The sequence below is a fragment of the Homo sapiens genome, chromosome 10, assembly GCF_000001405.40.
Source record: "Homo sapiens chromosome 10, GRCh38.p14 Primary Assembly".
NCBI classification, from domain to species: domain Eukaryota; kingdom Metazoa; phylum Chordata; class Mammalia; order Primates; family Hominidae; genus Homo; species Homo sapiens.
The window spans coordinates 79,640,848-79,658,494 of record NC_000010.11 but is presented as its reverse complement, the minus strand read 5'-3'; the positions used below and the strand labels follow the sequence as shown (position 1 = coordinate 79,658,494).

At 31.1% G+C, this 17,647-nt stretch overlaps 2 long non-coding RNA genes across 2 annotated transcripts in view; both read left to right on the top strand.

The window, feature by feature from the left end:
* Window positions 1–17,647, top strand: part of LINC02679 (long intergenic non-protein coding RNA 2679) — a 34,429-nt gene that overhangs the window by 4,691 nt on the left and 12,091 nt on the right. The gene's annotated exons all lie outside the window — the stretch shown is intronic.
* LOC124900288 (uncharacterized) lies at window positions 1,250–14,975 on the top strand. Its single transcript, XR_007062216.1, has 2 exons — window positions 1,250–1,292; window positions 2,167–14,975. It is a non-coding gene; the product is annotated as an uncharacterized LOC124900288 (long non-coding RNA).

The following is a 17,647-nucleotide window of genomic DNA, read 5'->3' as shown; positions in this document are numbered from 1 at the left end:
CAATACTCTTGAGAGATATTATCATTCCCTTTTTACCAAAAAAAGGCTGAATGGCCAAGATCACATAAAATCACATAAATAATAGAAGTCAAAAGTATGACTTTAACCCATCTAGTGTTATAAGAACCACATAATCGTCAATAATTTGAGAGTATCTTAATTAATTAAATTAAAAAAATTAATAAAAATTTTTTCAAAAGATGTATTCAAGTTATCAATTTGAAGAAAAATGAACATATTACTTAGAAACAGCCCTGGATTAGAGTCCCAATTATATCACTTAATAATTGTGTGGTTTAGGTAAGCCATGTAAAGTTGCTGTACTACTTAAATTTAAAATAAAGACAATTTTACCCAAACATAAAATTGTTGTAATGTTATTGTGCAGTTATAAATCACTTATTAAATTATAAATTTATGATAAGTATTAAACAGAATACTCAATTTTAAGCCATAAGGTCTTCTATTAGAAAAATATTCAAATATAATGTGATACATCATGCATTTTTATAAAGAAAAATATAAATTTAATTATAGCCCTAATAAAAAATTTTGGAGGTGCATTACCAAGGCCAAATTTATATTTCATAAAATGAACAAATTTAAGATGTGTACCTTAACTTTATGTATTTCTGCACTCATATTCACACCAGCCATATCAAGATAAAGAACAGTTTCACTACCACAGAAAATATTGTGCTGCTTTATTCCAGTCGATAATAACCACTGGTCAAATTTGTCTGGAATCATATAGATTTTATGCTTTTGTGTCTGACCTATTTTACTCAACATGATGTTTTGGAGATTTATCTATGCTGTTTTATGTGTCAATATTTTATTTTGTATTGCTATGTATTATTACTCTGTAAGTCAATATCATAATTTATCTCTTCTCCACTTTATAGTTGTTACATCCAGTTTTTGCCCACAAAAACAACCTGCTGTGAATAATTTTATATAGGTCTCTGTTGTGTGAATACACACCCTCATTTATTTTTGGTATATACCTATAAATTGAATCATGATGTCACTGAGTATGTGTGCAGGTTAACTTTATAAGAAATTGCCAAACTTCTTTAAAATATAGCTGTAAATTTACTCTTCCACCACAAATGTATGAGATTTTCTTTGCTTCATAACCTCTTCAACACTTGCTATATTCAGTACTCAGTTTTTTTTCTTAAGAGATGGGGTCTTGCTCTATCACACAGGCTGGAGTGGAGTGGCACAATCATAGCTCACTGCAGCCTTGGACTCCTGGGCTCAAGCTATCCTCCCATATCGGTCTCCAGGTATTTAGCCATTTTAATTTTACCAGTTCTCTTGGATACGTAATGACATCTCACTGAGGTTTTTATTTTCATTTTTTCTGATGACCAACTATTTCAGCACATTTTCTTATCCTGATTCCCCAATTGGCTGTCTTCTTTTATGAACTGACCGTTCAAGTCTTTTGCCCACTTCTAATTGAGTGATGTATCTTCTGCATAACAATTTGTAGGATTTATTTACTTTCCATAGAAATATTTTGTCAGGTCTATGTATTTCAAATGTGTTATCTAACTGTGACACTTCTATTCATTTTTCATTGAGGTAAAAACATAACTTGTGATCTATCCTCTTAGTAAGATTTTAAATGTACAATATAGCACTGTTAAGCATAGGCGTGATGTTGCACAGAAAATCTTTAGAACTTATGCAACTTACACAACTGAAACTTTATACCTGTTGAACAGCAACCCTTCTTCCTCCTGCCCCTAACCATTCTATTCTCTATTTCTATGAGTTTGACTATTTTAGAAAGCTCATATATGTGAAATCATGCAGAATTTATCCTTCTGTGACTGGCTTATCACGCTTAGCATGATATCCTCCAGGTTCATCCATGTTCTTGCAGATGGCAGAATGTCCTTCCTTCTTAAAGCTGAAAATATTCCATTGTATTTATACACCACATTTTCTTTATTCATTTATGTGCTGATGGACATTTAAGTTTTCAAATTTTGTTGTTTTGTGAGTAATGCTGCAAAGAACATGGGTATGCGGGTAACTCTACCACATCCTGATTTCCATTCTTTTGGACATATGCCCAAGAGTAGGATTGCTGGATCATATATTAGTTCTATTTTTAGTTTTTTTGAGGAACCTACATACTGTAATTCACAGTGGCTGAACCAATTTACATCCCCAGCAAGAGCGTACAAGGGTTCCAGTTTCTCCACATCACTGCCAACACTTGTTACGTCTTGTTTTGTTTCATAATGCCTCTCCTAATGAGTGGTAAGTGATATCATATTTTGGCTTTTATTTGTATCTCTCTGATCATTAGTGATGTTGAACATCTTTTCATATACCTTTTGGCTATTTGTATGTCTTTGAAGAAAATTTATTCAATCTTTTTGCCCCCCTTTTTAAGTTATCTTTTTCTGTTGTTGTAGGAGTTCCTTACATATGTAATGAGGTTTTTTTGAATAAATGAATATAAGTTTAATATAGTAAAGACATTAACACAATTTTTATTTTATGTTTAATACATTTTGTGCTCTAGAAAAAAAATCATTATTTATCTCACCCAAGATCATTATGATGTTCCTCAAAGTATTCTTCTAGAAGCTTTAGCATTCATATTTAGGTCTGTGATCCATCTTACATTGAATTTTGTGCATGATATGAGTGAGATATTAAGATTAATGAAAATGCTAATTATAATAGATTCTCAGGTCCTAGCCAAAGCTTTTGTATATTGGGATCTCTTGAGATCTAGGTTATTTAAAGGTAATAGACGATCAGTATTGATGAATTTGTTTTCTTTTTCTATCTGGTGATTCTCAACCTTTGTTCCATATTAGAATCAAGTGGTTTGCTTGCTTGCTTCTTTTTGTCTTTGCTTTTAGTAGCACTGCCTCAATCCTACCTTCAAAAATTCTAATTTGATAACCTGGACATCAGGATTTTTGGGGAGAAGGGGACAGGGTCTCACTCTGTCACCTGGGCTAGTGTACAGTGGCATGATCACAGCTCATTGCAGCCTCAAACTCCTGGGCTTGAGGGATCCTTCTGCCTCAACCTCTCACGTAGCTTGAATTACAGGTGTGAGCCACCATGCCTGGTGACATTGGGATTTTAATGGGTCTCTGGGTGAGTCTAATATAAAGCCAAGTTTGGGAATCATTGACAAGCTCCAAAAGCCTGGAAAAAATGTATACATGAAGATAGAGATTAGTGTTACTCTCTCCTTGGGTGAAAACCCCTGACAAGTTTTATTGATTTATTGGGAAACAACATTGGAAGCAGTTTCTCCTCTGCCTCTTTAATCCCTTGGCCAACGCAATCTTGAGTTAAGCACAGTCTCACTATTAAGTCTTGTAGGGTGAATACATCTTTACTTCCAGTTTTCATCCACTTTATCTTCATCTCGGAGAATTATTGTGAAAAAAAAAGTTCTCAGTGTATAACTCATATTAAGTAAAAGACATGTAATACATTGTAATAATTCATCAAATATTGCTTGTGGTGTTTTACCTACTTTACACTTGTGGAAAATTTAAGGAAAAATTTTAAATAGTTCTACATTATTTTCATAGAAGAATCACAGTAAAATAAGAACTTTGCAAGTCCACATTTTACTACATTGCATTATTTGAAAAGAAAACTAATTTTGAAGTGTCTGATGATTTCAAAACACAGTTCACTATTATTTAATTAGTGAAAGGAGATGCATGCGAGGATTTGAAATAGAATTTTTAACATTGACTTAGATACTTTCTCTAAATGTATTAGACATAAAAGTAAATGGTATTTATATATTTGTTTGTAAGATGCTATAATTTTAAATTTAAATGTCTATGTAGCTTTTTCTGAAGGAAGCTGTTCTAACATTGTGGAAGCAATTTGGGGACATTTCTCTTACTTGATTGATTCTTTTCTTATCCAGATGCTACCCATTTTCAAGATTGCACAAACTCCACTTCTATAAGGGAACTCAGCCCACAAGGCTCTCATGTACATCAGTAACATCTATATCTTTACTGAATTACATATGCCTTGCCCTATCAAATGAAATTATGTACCACGAAGTCAGGATCATATCTCAACTCTTCTGTAAACTCCACAATGCATAGCATAGTGTTACTCATGGAAAAATCAAATACTTGTGATTGAAATGGGTTAACATTCTTCTCATGTTAAGGAACATACTTCTTTAATTGTACCTGTTGTTATGCCGGGTGTAAGACTTATTCTTTTCTCCAGAGTTGATATCAATAATTTAAAAACATATAGGAATTGGAGATAAATGGGGAAACAAACAATTTATGAAGGTCAAAACTATGAAGTAAATTTCAGTTCATGGTTATTTGGTAGAAATACTAGGTTGGAGAGTATGGTTCACATTTGAGACCAAATTAAATATTATTTAATAGATTTCTTTCACACTTAGTTGAAGGAAAGCATGCAGTAAAAACCTAGCTTGACCAAAAACCTGACTTGCTCTTGGCAAAAATTGTGGTGGAGAGAGAGAGAGATAGAGAATGAATAACCTCTACCCTGTGGGAGGGTCTTTCCATTGCAAATGACGCAAGTAGAGAATCTGATGAATCCGAGCCTAGGAAAGTCAAAAAGGAAGCAGATTGGCATCCAGTCATTGAAGACACTAAACCTGAACACTAAGAAGACATGATTAAATAAATGTCAGGTTCTGAACAATTAAACTGGTTACTTCTGCTACATTGAAGTAAGGAGTGAATACCTTGGAGTCTAACATAGTTTTCCAAATAAAAAGATAACGAGGCGGAAGATGACATTTTGTTTACTAAATTTTCTAGTTCATATTGAATAGTTTAATTAGAACTTGAAAGCCAAGGTCTCAGGGAACCATTTTTAAAGTGCTTTTCAAAGAGCTTATATTAAAATAATTATATGTAAATAACAAATAATTAGATATGAGGCTCACAAATGAAATATTTATGTTCATATAATATGGCTAATGTATGGTAACAATAGTATTAAATCTATAGATCTATGATGGGAGAATTACTAGAAAAACAAGAGTAGGTCTCCCAATCCATGAGCATGGAATGATTTTCCATTTGCTTAGATTATTAGTTTTCAGCATACAATTCTTACACATATTTTGCTAAATGTATTTCCAAGGGTTTATTTGTATAGTATTGTGAATATAATTATTTTCTTAATTTTTTTAAGAGATAGAGTCTCTTTCTCTATCTACCAGGCTGGAGTGTAGTAGCTTGCAATCATAGTTCACTGCAACCTTGAACTCCTGGCTCAAGTGATCTTCCTGCCTCAACGTCCTGAGTACCTAGGACTGAGAGGTGAATGCCACCATGCCTGGCTAATTTAAAAAAAATAAATAAATTCATAGAGAAGAGGATCTGTCTTTGTTGCCCAGGCTGGTTCTAAACTCCTAGCCTCAAGTAAGTCTCCTGACTTGGCCTCCCAAGGCACTGGGATTACAGGCCTGAGCTATTGAGCCCAGCCACTTCCATTTCCTGATGGCTTTATTGATGTATTCTTCATTGTATTGACTATAACTTCCAGTGCAATATTGGATAGAATTAGGGAGAGTAAACTTTATAGACATCTTTGGCACGTCGCCAATTTTGAGGGGCAAATATCCAGTCTTTCACCATTAGCTATGCTGTAAAATGTAGTGTTTTTGGTTGTTGTTGTTGTTGATGTCCTCTATCAGGTTGAAGAATTTCCATTCTATTTTTTTTATTAATTCACATTAGATTCTGTCAAATCCTTTTCCTGCATCATTGAGATAATCATTTCATTTTAGTTCATTTTATAACATAGTATATTACATTACATTTTGTATTTAAAATACAAAAACAGTCTTGCATTTCTGGGATTAATTTCACTTAGTCATGGAGTGCAATCATTTTTATATACGGTTGAATTTAGTTTGATAATATTTTATTGGAGATTTTTGTGTCTATATCTGTGAGGTATATTGATCTGTAATTTAATTTTTATTTTTTTGTTTTTAAAAATTTCTTTTTCTTTCTTTCTTTTTTCATTTTTGCTTTTGAATATAGGCCTTATAACATGAATTGGGAAGTTTCTCTCTTTTTCTATTTTCTGAGTATGTGTATCATTTCTTCATTGAATATGCGAAATAACTTACCAGTGAAGTCATGTGGTCCTGTATATTTCCTTATGAAAGACTTTTAATTGCTAATTTGACATGTTTATTCAGATTTTCTATTCATTTTTATTTCAGCTGTGGTAATTTATATATTTTTAAGACTTTCTACCTTAAATATAAGTTGTATAATTTGTGGTCACAAAGTGTTTCATAGTATTTCCCTTATAATTCATATATTTGGATGAGATGGGGGAGGATTGGTAGTAGTAACCTTTGTTCTTGATTTTGGTAATCAACACATTATTTTTTTTTCTTTCTTTTTTTTTTTTCTTTTTTGAGACAGAGTTTTGCTGCTGTCGCCTAGGCTGGAGTGCAATGGCAGGATGTGGGTTCACTGTAACCTCCGCCTCCTGGGTTCAAGTAATTCTGCCTCAGCCTCCTGAGTAGCTGGGATTACAAGCACCCGCCACCATGCCTGGCTAATTTTTGTATTTTTAGTAGAGATGGGGTTTCACCACGTTGGCCAGGCTAGTCACGAACTCCTGGCCTCAAGTGATCCACCTGCCTCGGCCTCCCAAAGTATTGGGATTACAGGCGTAAGCCACCATGCCCGGCCTTTTTTATTATTCATCATCTAAGTATTTCTCAATTTTGTTTATCTTTTCAAAGATTCAAACTTTGGATCTTTAAATTTCTTTATTGTTTTTTGTTTTATTTTCTATTTGATTGATTTCTGCTCTAATCTGTATTATTTCTTTGTTTTTCTTGCTTTGTGCTCAGTTTAGTCTTCCTTTTCTAATTTCTAAGGTTGGGAGAATGAATTATTAATTTAAGAACTCTCTTTTTAAAATAACCTTTAAATTTTGATATAATTGTAGATTTACTTACAGTTATAAGAAATAATATAGAGAGATTTCTTGTAACCTTATCTCAGTTCTCCCAGTGGTAACATCTTGCAAAAGTATAGTACAATATCATAACCAATATGTGGAGATTGATATAGTCAACATACAGAATATTTCCATTACCATGGAATCCCTCATGTTGTTCTTTCCTAGCCACATCTATTTTCCTCTTTTTCACCTCATCTTTAACCCTTGATAACCATTAATCTTTCCTCCATTCTCATAATTTTGTCACTTCAGTAATGTTCTACAAGGGAAATTCTACATCATATAATCTTTTGTGGTCAGATTTATTTACTCAGCATAATTCTCTGAAAATGTATGGAAGTTGTTGTCTATATCAATAACTTGCTTCTTTTTGTTGCTAAGTAGTGCTTCATTGCATGAATGTAATACATTTTGTTTAAACTTATTCACTCCTTCAAAAATGTCTGGGTCGTTTCCAGTTTGGGGTTATTAAAAATAAAGCTGTTCTGAATATTTGTGTAAAGTTTTTGAATTAACGTGGTTTTTAAAAATTACTCTGCTGTAAATGCCCAGGAGTGAAATCACTGAGTCATAAAGTCATTGCCTGTTAAACTGTTTGTTTGCTTTTTAAAGAAAGTACCAAATTGTTACAGAGAATGGCTTTGTTATTTTACATTCCCATCAACCATGCAGCAGTTATGTAGTTTCTTTGCAGCCTTGCTAGCACTCAATGTTGTCATTATTTTTTATTGTAACTATTCCATTGGGCATATATTGAAATCCCATTGGGGTTCTAATTTTTCATTCCCTAATGGCTAATGATGTTGACATCTTTTCATGCTCTGATTTTCCAAACATATATTCTTTTCAGTGAAATGTATATTCATGTCTTTTGCCCACTTTCTAATTTGACTTTGTTCACTCTTAAGTTTTGAAAGTTCTTTATATATTCTTGCTACTAGTCTTTTTCAGACACATGGCAAGCAAAAGGGGAAGGAAGGAGCACCTTTTTACTGTCAAGTTGAGATGAAGGTCAAGGTTCCCCATTAGGCCTCCTTTGCCACACAAAAAGTAAATACTCTGTGTTTTTAAGATAAAGTAATGGATGCCAAGAAAGACTCAAATTTTATTTATGTACTAATCATAAAAATGAACTATGATTTATAATTCTTCTCTTCCATTTTCATTATACATAAGTTAAGAAAACAAAATACATCATACTCAATAATAAGAAATCTGAGTAGAAACTCACCAGTTCACCTTAGCTATTTTCCCTTTTGGGTTTCTTTTCTTTTACTTTTTTTTCTCTCTCTCCTTTTTCTTTAAAAATTTTGGAGTGTAAACATATACATCATCTTAATTTGAGTCCTTATGTGTTGACGGTGTGCAGGGAAGAATGGGAAAGTAACTGTAAGTGGAGCTCAGAAAGAACTAACAAATTCATGAAAAAGTGACATTATTGCTGGTCTATTTTTTTTTTAATTTTCTGTTTCCTCACACTCTCCCATACTAAATGAATTATTTAGTGTTTTTGTTTTTGTTTTTTGTTTTTTGTTTTGTGATACAGAGTTTTGCTATTGTTGCCCAGGCTGGCACGATCTTGGCTCACCGCAACCTCCGCCTCCCAAGTTCAAGTGATTCTCCTACCTCAGCCTCCCGAGTAGCTGGGATTACAGGCATGCACCACTGCGCCTGGCTAATTTTTTGTGTTTTTAGTAGAGACGGGGTTTCTCCATATATACGGGGTTTCTCCAGATATACAGTTGTCAAATTATTGAAAGCTAAAGACAAACAGACAATTTTGCAAGTAGCTAGGGAAAATCGATTTATTATGTACAAGGGATTCTCAATAAGATTAAGAGCTATTTTCTCATTATAAATGATGGTAGTGAGAAGATAGTGGACAAATATGTTTTAGTCCTGAAAGAAAGACCAAAAACAGTAACAACTGCTTACTGAGAATTCTTTATCTAGCAAAACATTCTATGATAAATGAGTAAAGAATTAAGACATTTACAGAGAAACAAAAGATGACGGAGTTTATAACCTACAGACGTGTCCTATGAAAAATGCTAAAGAGATTCTTTCAGGTTGAAATGAAAAGACACTAGACAATAACCTAAAGATGAATGAAGAAATAAAGGTTTCCTGGAAAAAGTAAGTCCATGGGCAATTATAAAACTTAGCATTATTTTATTTTTAGTTTATAACTCCATTTTTATTTTCTATACATGTTGAAAAAATTTATAAAAATAATTATAAATTTATGTTATTCAGCACAGAATGTATATGAATGTAATTTGTGAAACAACATGAAATGGGTAAGGGGACTGCACAGATATGGAGTGTTTCATGCTATTGAAATTATGTTGGCATTAATTAAAACATAGAGGATTATAAATTTAAGATATTAAACAGAATCCTTATGGCAGTTAGAGACAATATTTTTAAAATGCACACATAAGAAAATGACAGAGGTTTTTAAAACATTTTACTATAAAAATCAACTAATCACAAAAAAACTATTAAGGGAAGAAATGAACAAAAAATTGTAAGCCATATAGAAAACAAAAAGCAAAATGGCAGTAGTAATTCTCATCAATAATTTCTATAAAAGTAAATGAAGTAAACTTTCCAATTGAGAGGCAAAAGTCAGTGTAATGGATTTTAAAAATCACACAACTACATTTTTTTTATAAGAGACTCAATTTAGTTGCAAGCCACAAATAAATTGAAAGTGAAAAACAGAAAAATATATTCCATACAAATGGTAACCAAAAGAGAGGTGGTGTGGCTCTACTAGTATGACATGAATTGACTTTAATTTAACCACTGTTACAATTGGAACAAGGGCATTAAACACTAATAAAAGGATCAATTTATCAAGAAGATATAACAATTATAAATATGCACACACTAAACAACAGGGCCCCCCAAAATATACGAAGCAAATATTGGCAAAATTTAGGGAGAGAATACGTAGTTCTGCAATAATAGTTGGAGACATCAATGGGCCACTTCAAATTCTTGATAGAAAATCTGCAACAAGGAAATAGAGGAATTAAAGTATAGTGTTTATATAAATCAACTATACCTAATAGACATACACAGGACATTCCACCCAACAACAGCAGAATACATGTTCTCTCTGATAGCCCATGTGTTAGGCAACAAAGAATTCTTCAATAAATTTTAAAAACATTAAACTTATACAAAGCATCTTCTCGGAACACAATGGAGTGGAACTTTAAATCAACAACAGGAGAAAAACTGGAAAATATACAAATATATGGCAATTAAACCATGAGTGCCTTTTCAAGCAATGGATCAAAGAAGAGAAATTACAAATATCTGAAGATATGCAATAACAACACAACATACTAAACTTATGATATGAAGCAAAATCAGTGCTCAGATGAAAATTTATAGTTGCAATAGCCTACATTAAAAAATGTACAAAAGATCTCAAATCAATAACATAACTTCAGACTTTTATGAACCAGAAAATAAGAGCAAATTAAACACAAGTAGAAGAGAGGAAATAATAATAATTAAAATGGAAGTAAATAAAATACAGGGCAGGAATTATAGAGAAAGAAATAATAAAACCAAAAGCTGATTCTATTAAAAAATCGGCAAAATTGACAAATTACTCTATACTGATAAAGAAGAAAAGAGATAATAAATAATTGAAATCAGAAATAAAACTGGGGCTATTACTACTGATCTTATAGAAATAAAAATGATTATGAGAATAATATGACCAAATTAAGCCATAAACTAGATAACCTAGATGAAATTGTTGAATTTTCTAGAAACACACAAATTACCTAAGCTCACTCAAGAAGAAATAAAATATATATGTCAACAGAGCAATAATAGGTAAAGAAATACAAGTTGTAGTAAAAAAAAAAAAAAAAAAAAAACCACCCAATCAAGAAAATTATAATACCTACCACATGGTTTTTTATTTTTATTTTTTTTTTGAGACGGAGTCTCGCTCTGTCGCCCAGGCTGAAGTGCAGTGGCGCAATTTCGGCTCACTGCAAGCTCCGCCTCCCGGGTTCAAGCCATTCTCCTGCCTCAGCCTCCCCAGTAGCTGGGACTACAGACGCCCGCCACGTCGCCCGGCTAATTTTTTTTATTTTTAGTACAGACGGGGTTTCACCGTGTTAGCCAGGATGGTCTCGATTTCCTGACCTCGTGATCCGCCCGCCTTGGCCTCCCAACGTGCTGGGATTACAGGCGTGAGCTACCGCGAATACCAGATGGTTTTAATAGTAACTTATAGGATACATTTAGAGACGAACTGGCAAAAATTGCATGGCAAACTTTCCCAAAAACAGAAATGGAGATATTACTGATTAATTCATTCTATGAGGCAAGCATTTCTCCTAGTGTAAGTACAGATGAAGAGACCACAAGTAAAGACAATTACAGGTGAATATTCTTTACACATATAAATGCAAAACTCTTTACCAAATACTAGGAAACCAAATTCCTAAACAGGATTATGCCCTATGACCAAGAAGAATTTATCTTATAAATGTAAGGGTAGTTCAATGTAAGAAAACCAATCAATGTAAAGCAGCACATTGAAATTACCGATGTAATACAGCAAAGAAGAAGAAGAAGAAAAAAAGGAGATCAATTCATTGACACAGAAATAGCATTTGACAAAATTCAACACACCTTCATGGTAAAAGTCACTGAGCATAAAGAAGGGAATTTCCTTAACCTAATAAAGGACATTTTAAAAATACCCGCAGCTAACAACATATTCAATGGCAAAAGACTGAACACTTTTCTTTAACATCAGGAACAAGACAAGGATGTCTGCTTTAATCACTAGTGAACATTGCAACTTCTAGCAGAGCAATTAGCAAGAAAGACAAATAAGAGGCATCCAAACTGGAAAGGAATAAATTATTTCTCTTTTCAGATTACATAATTCTACATATAAAAAAATCTGAAAAAAAATCCATCAGAAAGCTAGTAGAGCTAATAAAAAATTCAGCAAAACTGCATATTACAAGGTCAACACACAAGATTCATTCATGTCTCTATATGCTAGAAATAAATAATCCAAAAACAAAATTAGGAAACAAATTCCATTTATGATAGTATCTAAAAGAACAAAACACCTAAGAATAAATTTAATGAAAAATGTGAACACTTGTACACTGAAAAGAGCAAAGCATCACCAAAAGAAATTAAAGAAGTCCTAAACAAATTGAAAGCAACCCTATGTTGATGGATTTGAAGACAAATTAATAGTGCTAAAATAGCAGAACTACCAAAGCTGTCTAAAGATTCAATACAATATTTAGTAAAATTCCAATAGTCATTTTACTGAAACAGAAATACCAATTCTCAAATTCCAGAATTGTACATGGAAATCCTAAAAAACAAAGATAAAGTTGGAGGACTCAAACTCTACCATTTCAAAACTTATCAAAAACCTACAGTAATTAAAACAGCATGGAAATGGCATAGGATAGGTGTATAGATAAATGGAATAGAATTGAATCCAGACATAAACCATATATTTATGGAAAATTTATTTTTAACAAGCCTGCCAAGTCAAGAAAAATATTCAACAAATGATGTTAGGACAACTGAATTTCCAAAGACAAATTAAGGTTAGGCTTCATCCCATATACAAAAATTAACTCACACCATATGTAAAAAATTTACTCATACTATATACAAAAATATATTCAAAATGAATCGATGACTCAAATATGAGAGCCAAAACCGTGATACTCTTAGGGATAAATATGAACTGGGATTTGGCAATGGATTTTTAAATATGACACCAAAAATACCACAGCAACAAAAAACTAGATAAGTTGAACTTTATCAAAATTAAAAACATCGGTTCATTAAAGGACATTATGAAGAAAGTGAGAGATAGCTTACAGAATGGAAAAAATTTGCAAATCATATATCTCATAAGGATTTAATATCCAAAATATATAAAGAATCTTTAAAACTCAATAACAGAAGACAAAGAAGCTATTTTTTAAATTTCCATAGTTTATTGGGGAACAGGTGGTGTTTGGTTACATGAGTAAGTTCTTTAGTGGTGATTTGTGAGATTTGGTGCACTCATCCTTGATCATTAGTGATGTTGAGCATTTTTTCATATGTTTGTTGGCCATTTGTATATCTTCTTTTGAGAATTGTCTATTCATGTCCTTAGTCCACTTTTTGATGGGATTGTTTGTTTTTTCCTTGTTGATTTGTTTGAGTTCATTGTAGATTCTGGATATTAGTCCTTTCTCAGATGTATAGAGTGTGAATATTTTTTCCCACTCTTCAGGTGTCTATTTACTCTGCTGACTGTTCCTTTTGCAGTGCAAAAGCTCTGGTATAAAAATAGGCACATAAACCAATGGAACAGAATAGAAAACCCAGAAATAAATCCAAATACTTAGAGCCAATTGATCTTCAACAAAGTAAACAAAAACATAAAGTGGGGAAAGGACACCCTTTTCAACAAATGATGCTGGGATAATTGGCTAGCCACATGTAGGAGAATGAAACTGGATGCTCATCTCTCACCTTATACAAAAATCAGCTCAAGATGGATTAAAGATTTAAATCTAAGACCTGAGACCATAAAAATTCTAGACGATAACATTGGAAAAACCCTTCTAGACATTGGCTTAAGCAAGGATTTCATGACCAAGAACCTAAAAGCAAATGCAATATAAAGATAAATTATTAAGAATTAATTAAACTAAAGAACCTATTTTAAAAATGGGCAAAGAACTGGTATATACATTTTCAAAGAAAATGTACAAATAGCCAACAAGTACATAAAAAGAGAGTTAACATCATTAGTCATTCAGGAAATAAAAATCAAAATCACAGTGAGATATTATTACACTACTTCGCAACGATATTTTTTTTGAGACAGAGTCTCACTCTGTCAACCAGGTTGGAGTGCAGTGGCACAGTCTCACCTCACTGCAGCCTCCTCCTCCCAGGTTCAAGCAATTCTCCTGCCTCAGCCTCCGGACTAGCTGGGGCTACAGGCACATACCACAACGCCCGGCTAATTTTTTTTTTTTTTTTTTTTTTTTTTTCAGATTTTTAGTAGAGACAGGGTTTCATTGTGTTGGCCAGGCTGGTCTCGAACTTCTGACCTCAGGTGATCAGCCCACCTCAGCCTTCCAAAGTACTGCTATTACAGGTATGAGCCAGCACTCATGGCCTTCTTCGCAACTATTAGGATGACTGTAATAAAAAATAAATACATAAATACATTAAAATATATATATATATAGAGAGAGAGAGAGAGAGAGTAGGGGGAGGAAAAAGGGTTAGCCAAGATGTGGATAAAGTTAAAGACACTTACATTGGTGGTGGAAATATCAAATTGTGCACTTACTGTGGAAATCAATTTGGAGGTTAATCAAAAAGCTAAACATAGAATAATTCCACTTCTAGGTATATACCCGAAATAATTTAAGCGTGACTCAAACAGATACTTGTACACCAGTGTTTTTTTTTTGCAGCATTTTTTACAATAGTCAAAAGGTAGAAAAACCCTAACAGATGAATCTTTAATCAATGAATAGATGAACAAAATGTTGTACATAAATACAAAGGATTATTATTCAGCCATAAAAAAGAATGATGTTTTGATACACACTACAGCATAATGAACCTTAAAAACATTTTCTAAGTGAAATAAGCCAGACTCAAAAGGACAAATATTGTATGATTCCAAACATATGAAATATCTAGAATGGGAAAATTCATAGAGATAGAAAACATGTTAGTGATTACTAGGATGTGAGGGGAGAGTTAAAAGGTGTTACCGTTTTATGAGTATAGTTTTTGTTTGGAGTGATGAGCTAATTTTAGAAATAGATAGTTCTGATGTTTATACATTTTGCATGTAATTACTACCATAGAATTATACACTTAAAATTTTTTAATGATGTATGTATATCATATTAAAATTTTAAAAAGCAAACAAATAAGAGGTGCCTAAGCTTGACTCATGTTCATTAATTTATTGACCCCTTGATTATGGCAGTGGTTAATATATTTTGGAATCTAAAATTCACTTAAAAGACGTGTTAAAAGACAGATTGCTGTTTCCTTAGTTTCTGATTCATTCATGCTGGAATGGTACCCAAGAATTTGCATTTCTAATACATTTGTGTATGATGTGGATGCTGTTGGTCTGTTGATCACACTTGAAAAACTTCTAGACTACATTATGCCTAAAACAGTTCCTCTGTCTCATCAATGCAGTTGTTTAATTGATTTGTTTTTTTTTTCTCCAAGTAAAGGGATTAAGTTATTCTAACCTAATAACGTGCTAATATAGTTTGGCTTAGTCAGGCAAAATCAATCATACTTATGAAATCATTATCATCTGAAAAGAAATAGAGAGAGACAAAGTTGGGAAGAGATTAAAAGTGAGAGCTGATGTAGGATTGCCTGGATGGAACTAAAATCCCAGTTCCATCACCTTTCTCCTCTGTAACATTGGAACAGGTAATGAACTTCCCTGAGATTTAGATTCCCTTGCCTGTAAAGGAGAATAAATAACAAAAATTCCTCATAGAGTATTTTGAGGATTACATGGGATACTGCTTATAAAGTTGCTAGCAAAATATCTGGTGCATAACAAGTCCTCATAAACAGTTACAAATGAAAAAGAGATGCACAGGGAATAACATTCATGATAAATCAATCTGAAAATGTTAATGTAAAAAATTCTAGAACTCTCAGGATATCTTCACGAAGTCAGTGTATTAAAATAAATATGGCATAAACCCTCCAATCTGAGCCTTATAAAAAGAGGAGATTTGCTTATTGTGAAAAAGGGAAAGAGTGGAGAGTCTATGAGGTAATTATTAATAATATTAGTTTTATTAAATATTAGCACATTTTATTAAGTGTGTACAGCAACCTCAAGCTGGTGTTATTAACTGAACTTGGGAGAACATTTGAGCTCATGAACTATTCACGTTGTTCTAAATCTGAGCTAAGTAAAAAAGTGATAAAGGAGAGAGTGCAGAACCTAGTTAAAATGTGTTTTCCATATATATAAAAATATATATGATATATAAATATATATCATATAAATATATATGATATATAAAGATACAATATATAATTATATATAATATATTATATATTATATGTAATATATTATATAATATATTACATATAATATAAATATATTATATTATATATATATTTATAATATATATAAATATATAAATATATAAATATATAATATATATAATATATATAAAATATAAATATATAATATATAATATATAATTATATATAAATATATATAAATATATATATAATATATAATATATATTATAATATATTAATATAATATATAATATATATTATAATATATTAATATAATATATAATATATATTATAATATATTAATATAATATATAAATGTATAATATATAATTATATATAATATATAAATGTATAATATGTAATTATATATAATATATAAATATATAATATGTAATTATATATAATATATAAATATATAATATGTAATTATATATAATATATAAATATATAATATGTAATTATATATTATATAAATATATAATATATAATTATATAATATATAAATATATTATATATAAATATATAATATATAATTATATATAATATATAAATATATACTATATATAATATATAATTATATATAATATATAAATATATACTATATATAATATACTATATATACATATATAAAATATATATAATATATATTATATATAAGTATATTATATATGTATATATAATATATAAATATATATAATATATAGATATATATAAATATATATAATGTTAAATATATATAAATATAAAATATATAAAAATATAGATGTATTATATAATATATAAATTATATTATATATTATACATAATTTATGAATTATATATAATATATAATACATAAATTATATATTATATATTATATAATACATAAATTATATATCATATATAATACATAAATTATATATATTATATATAATACATAAATTATATATATTATATATAATATATTATATATAATATATATATAAAAATGTAGCTAACAGTTCCAACCATGTTCAAATAAGGCAAAGGCCCAGCTGCAACTAATCCAGTTGTTTCTGTACCTCACTTTTCCTTTTGCTGTCCATTAATCTTCTTCCACCACGTGGCTGCGCTACAGTCTCTCTAAATCTGCTGTAATTCTGGGCGCTGCCTGATTCTCCCATCGTTCATTGCTCAAACTACTTTAAATTTTATATATATATATTTTACACCAAGAATAGGCTGAGTTAAATATACATCTTGCTGTTTGCAGTGACCATTCTGGCTTATCATTACAGATGTCTTGTTTTCTCCTATAGAAGTAACACACTTTACTACTTTTGAAGACAGATTGTTACACTGATTCTATGATTGTCATTAAGAGAAAAATTTCAACCAAATTAAATTTAAAGTAGTATGAGCAATGAATGATGGGAGAATCAGGTAGCGCCCAGAATTACAGCAGATTTAGAGAGACTGTAGCGCAGCCACGTGGTGGAAGAAGATTTATGGACAGCAAAAGGAAAGTGAGGTACAGAAACAACTGGATTAGTTGCAGCTGGGCCTTTGCCTT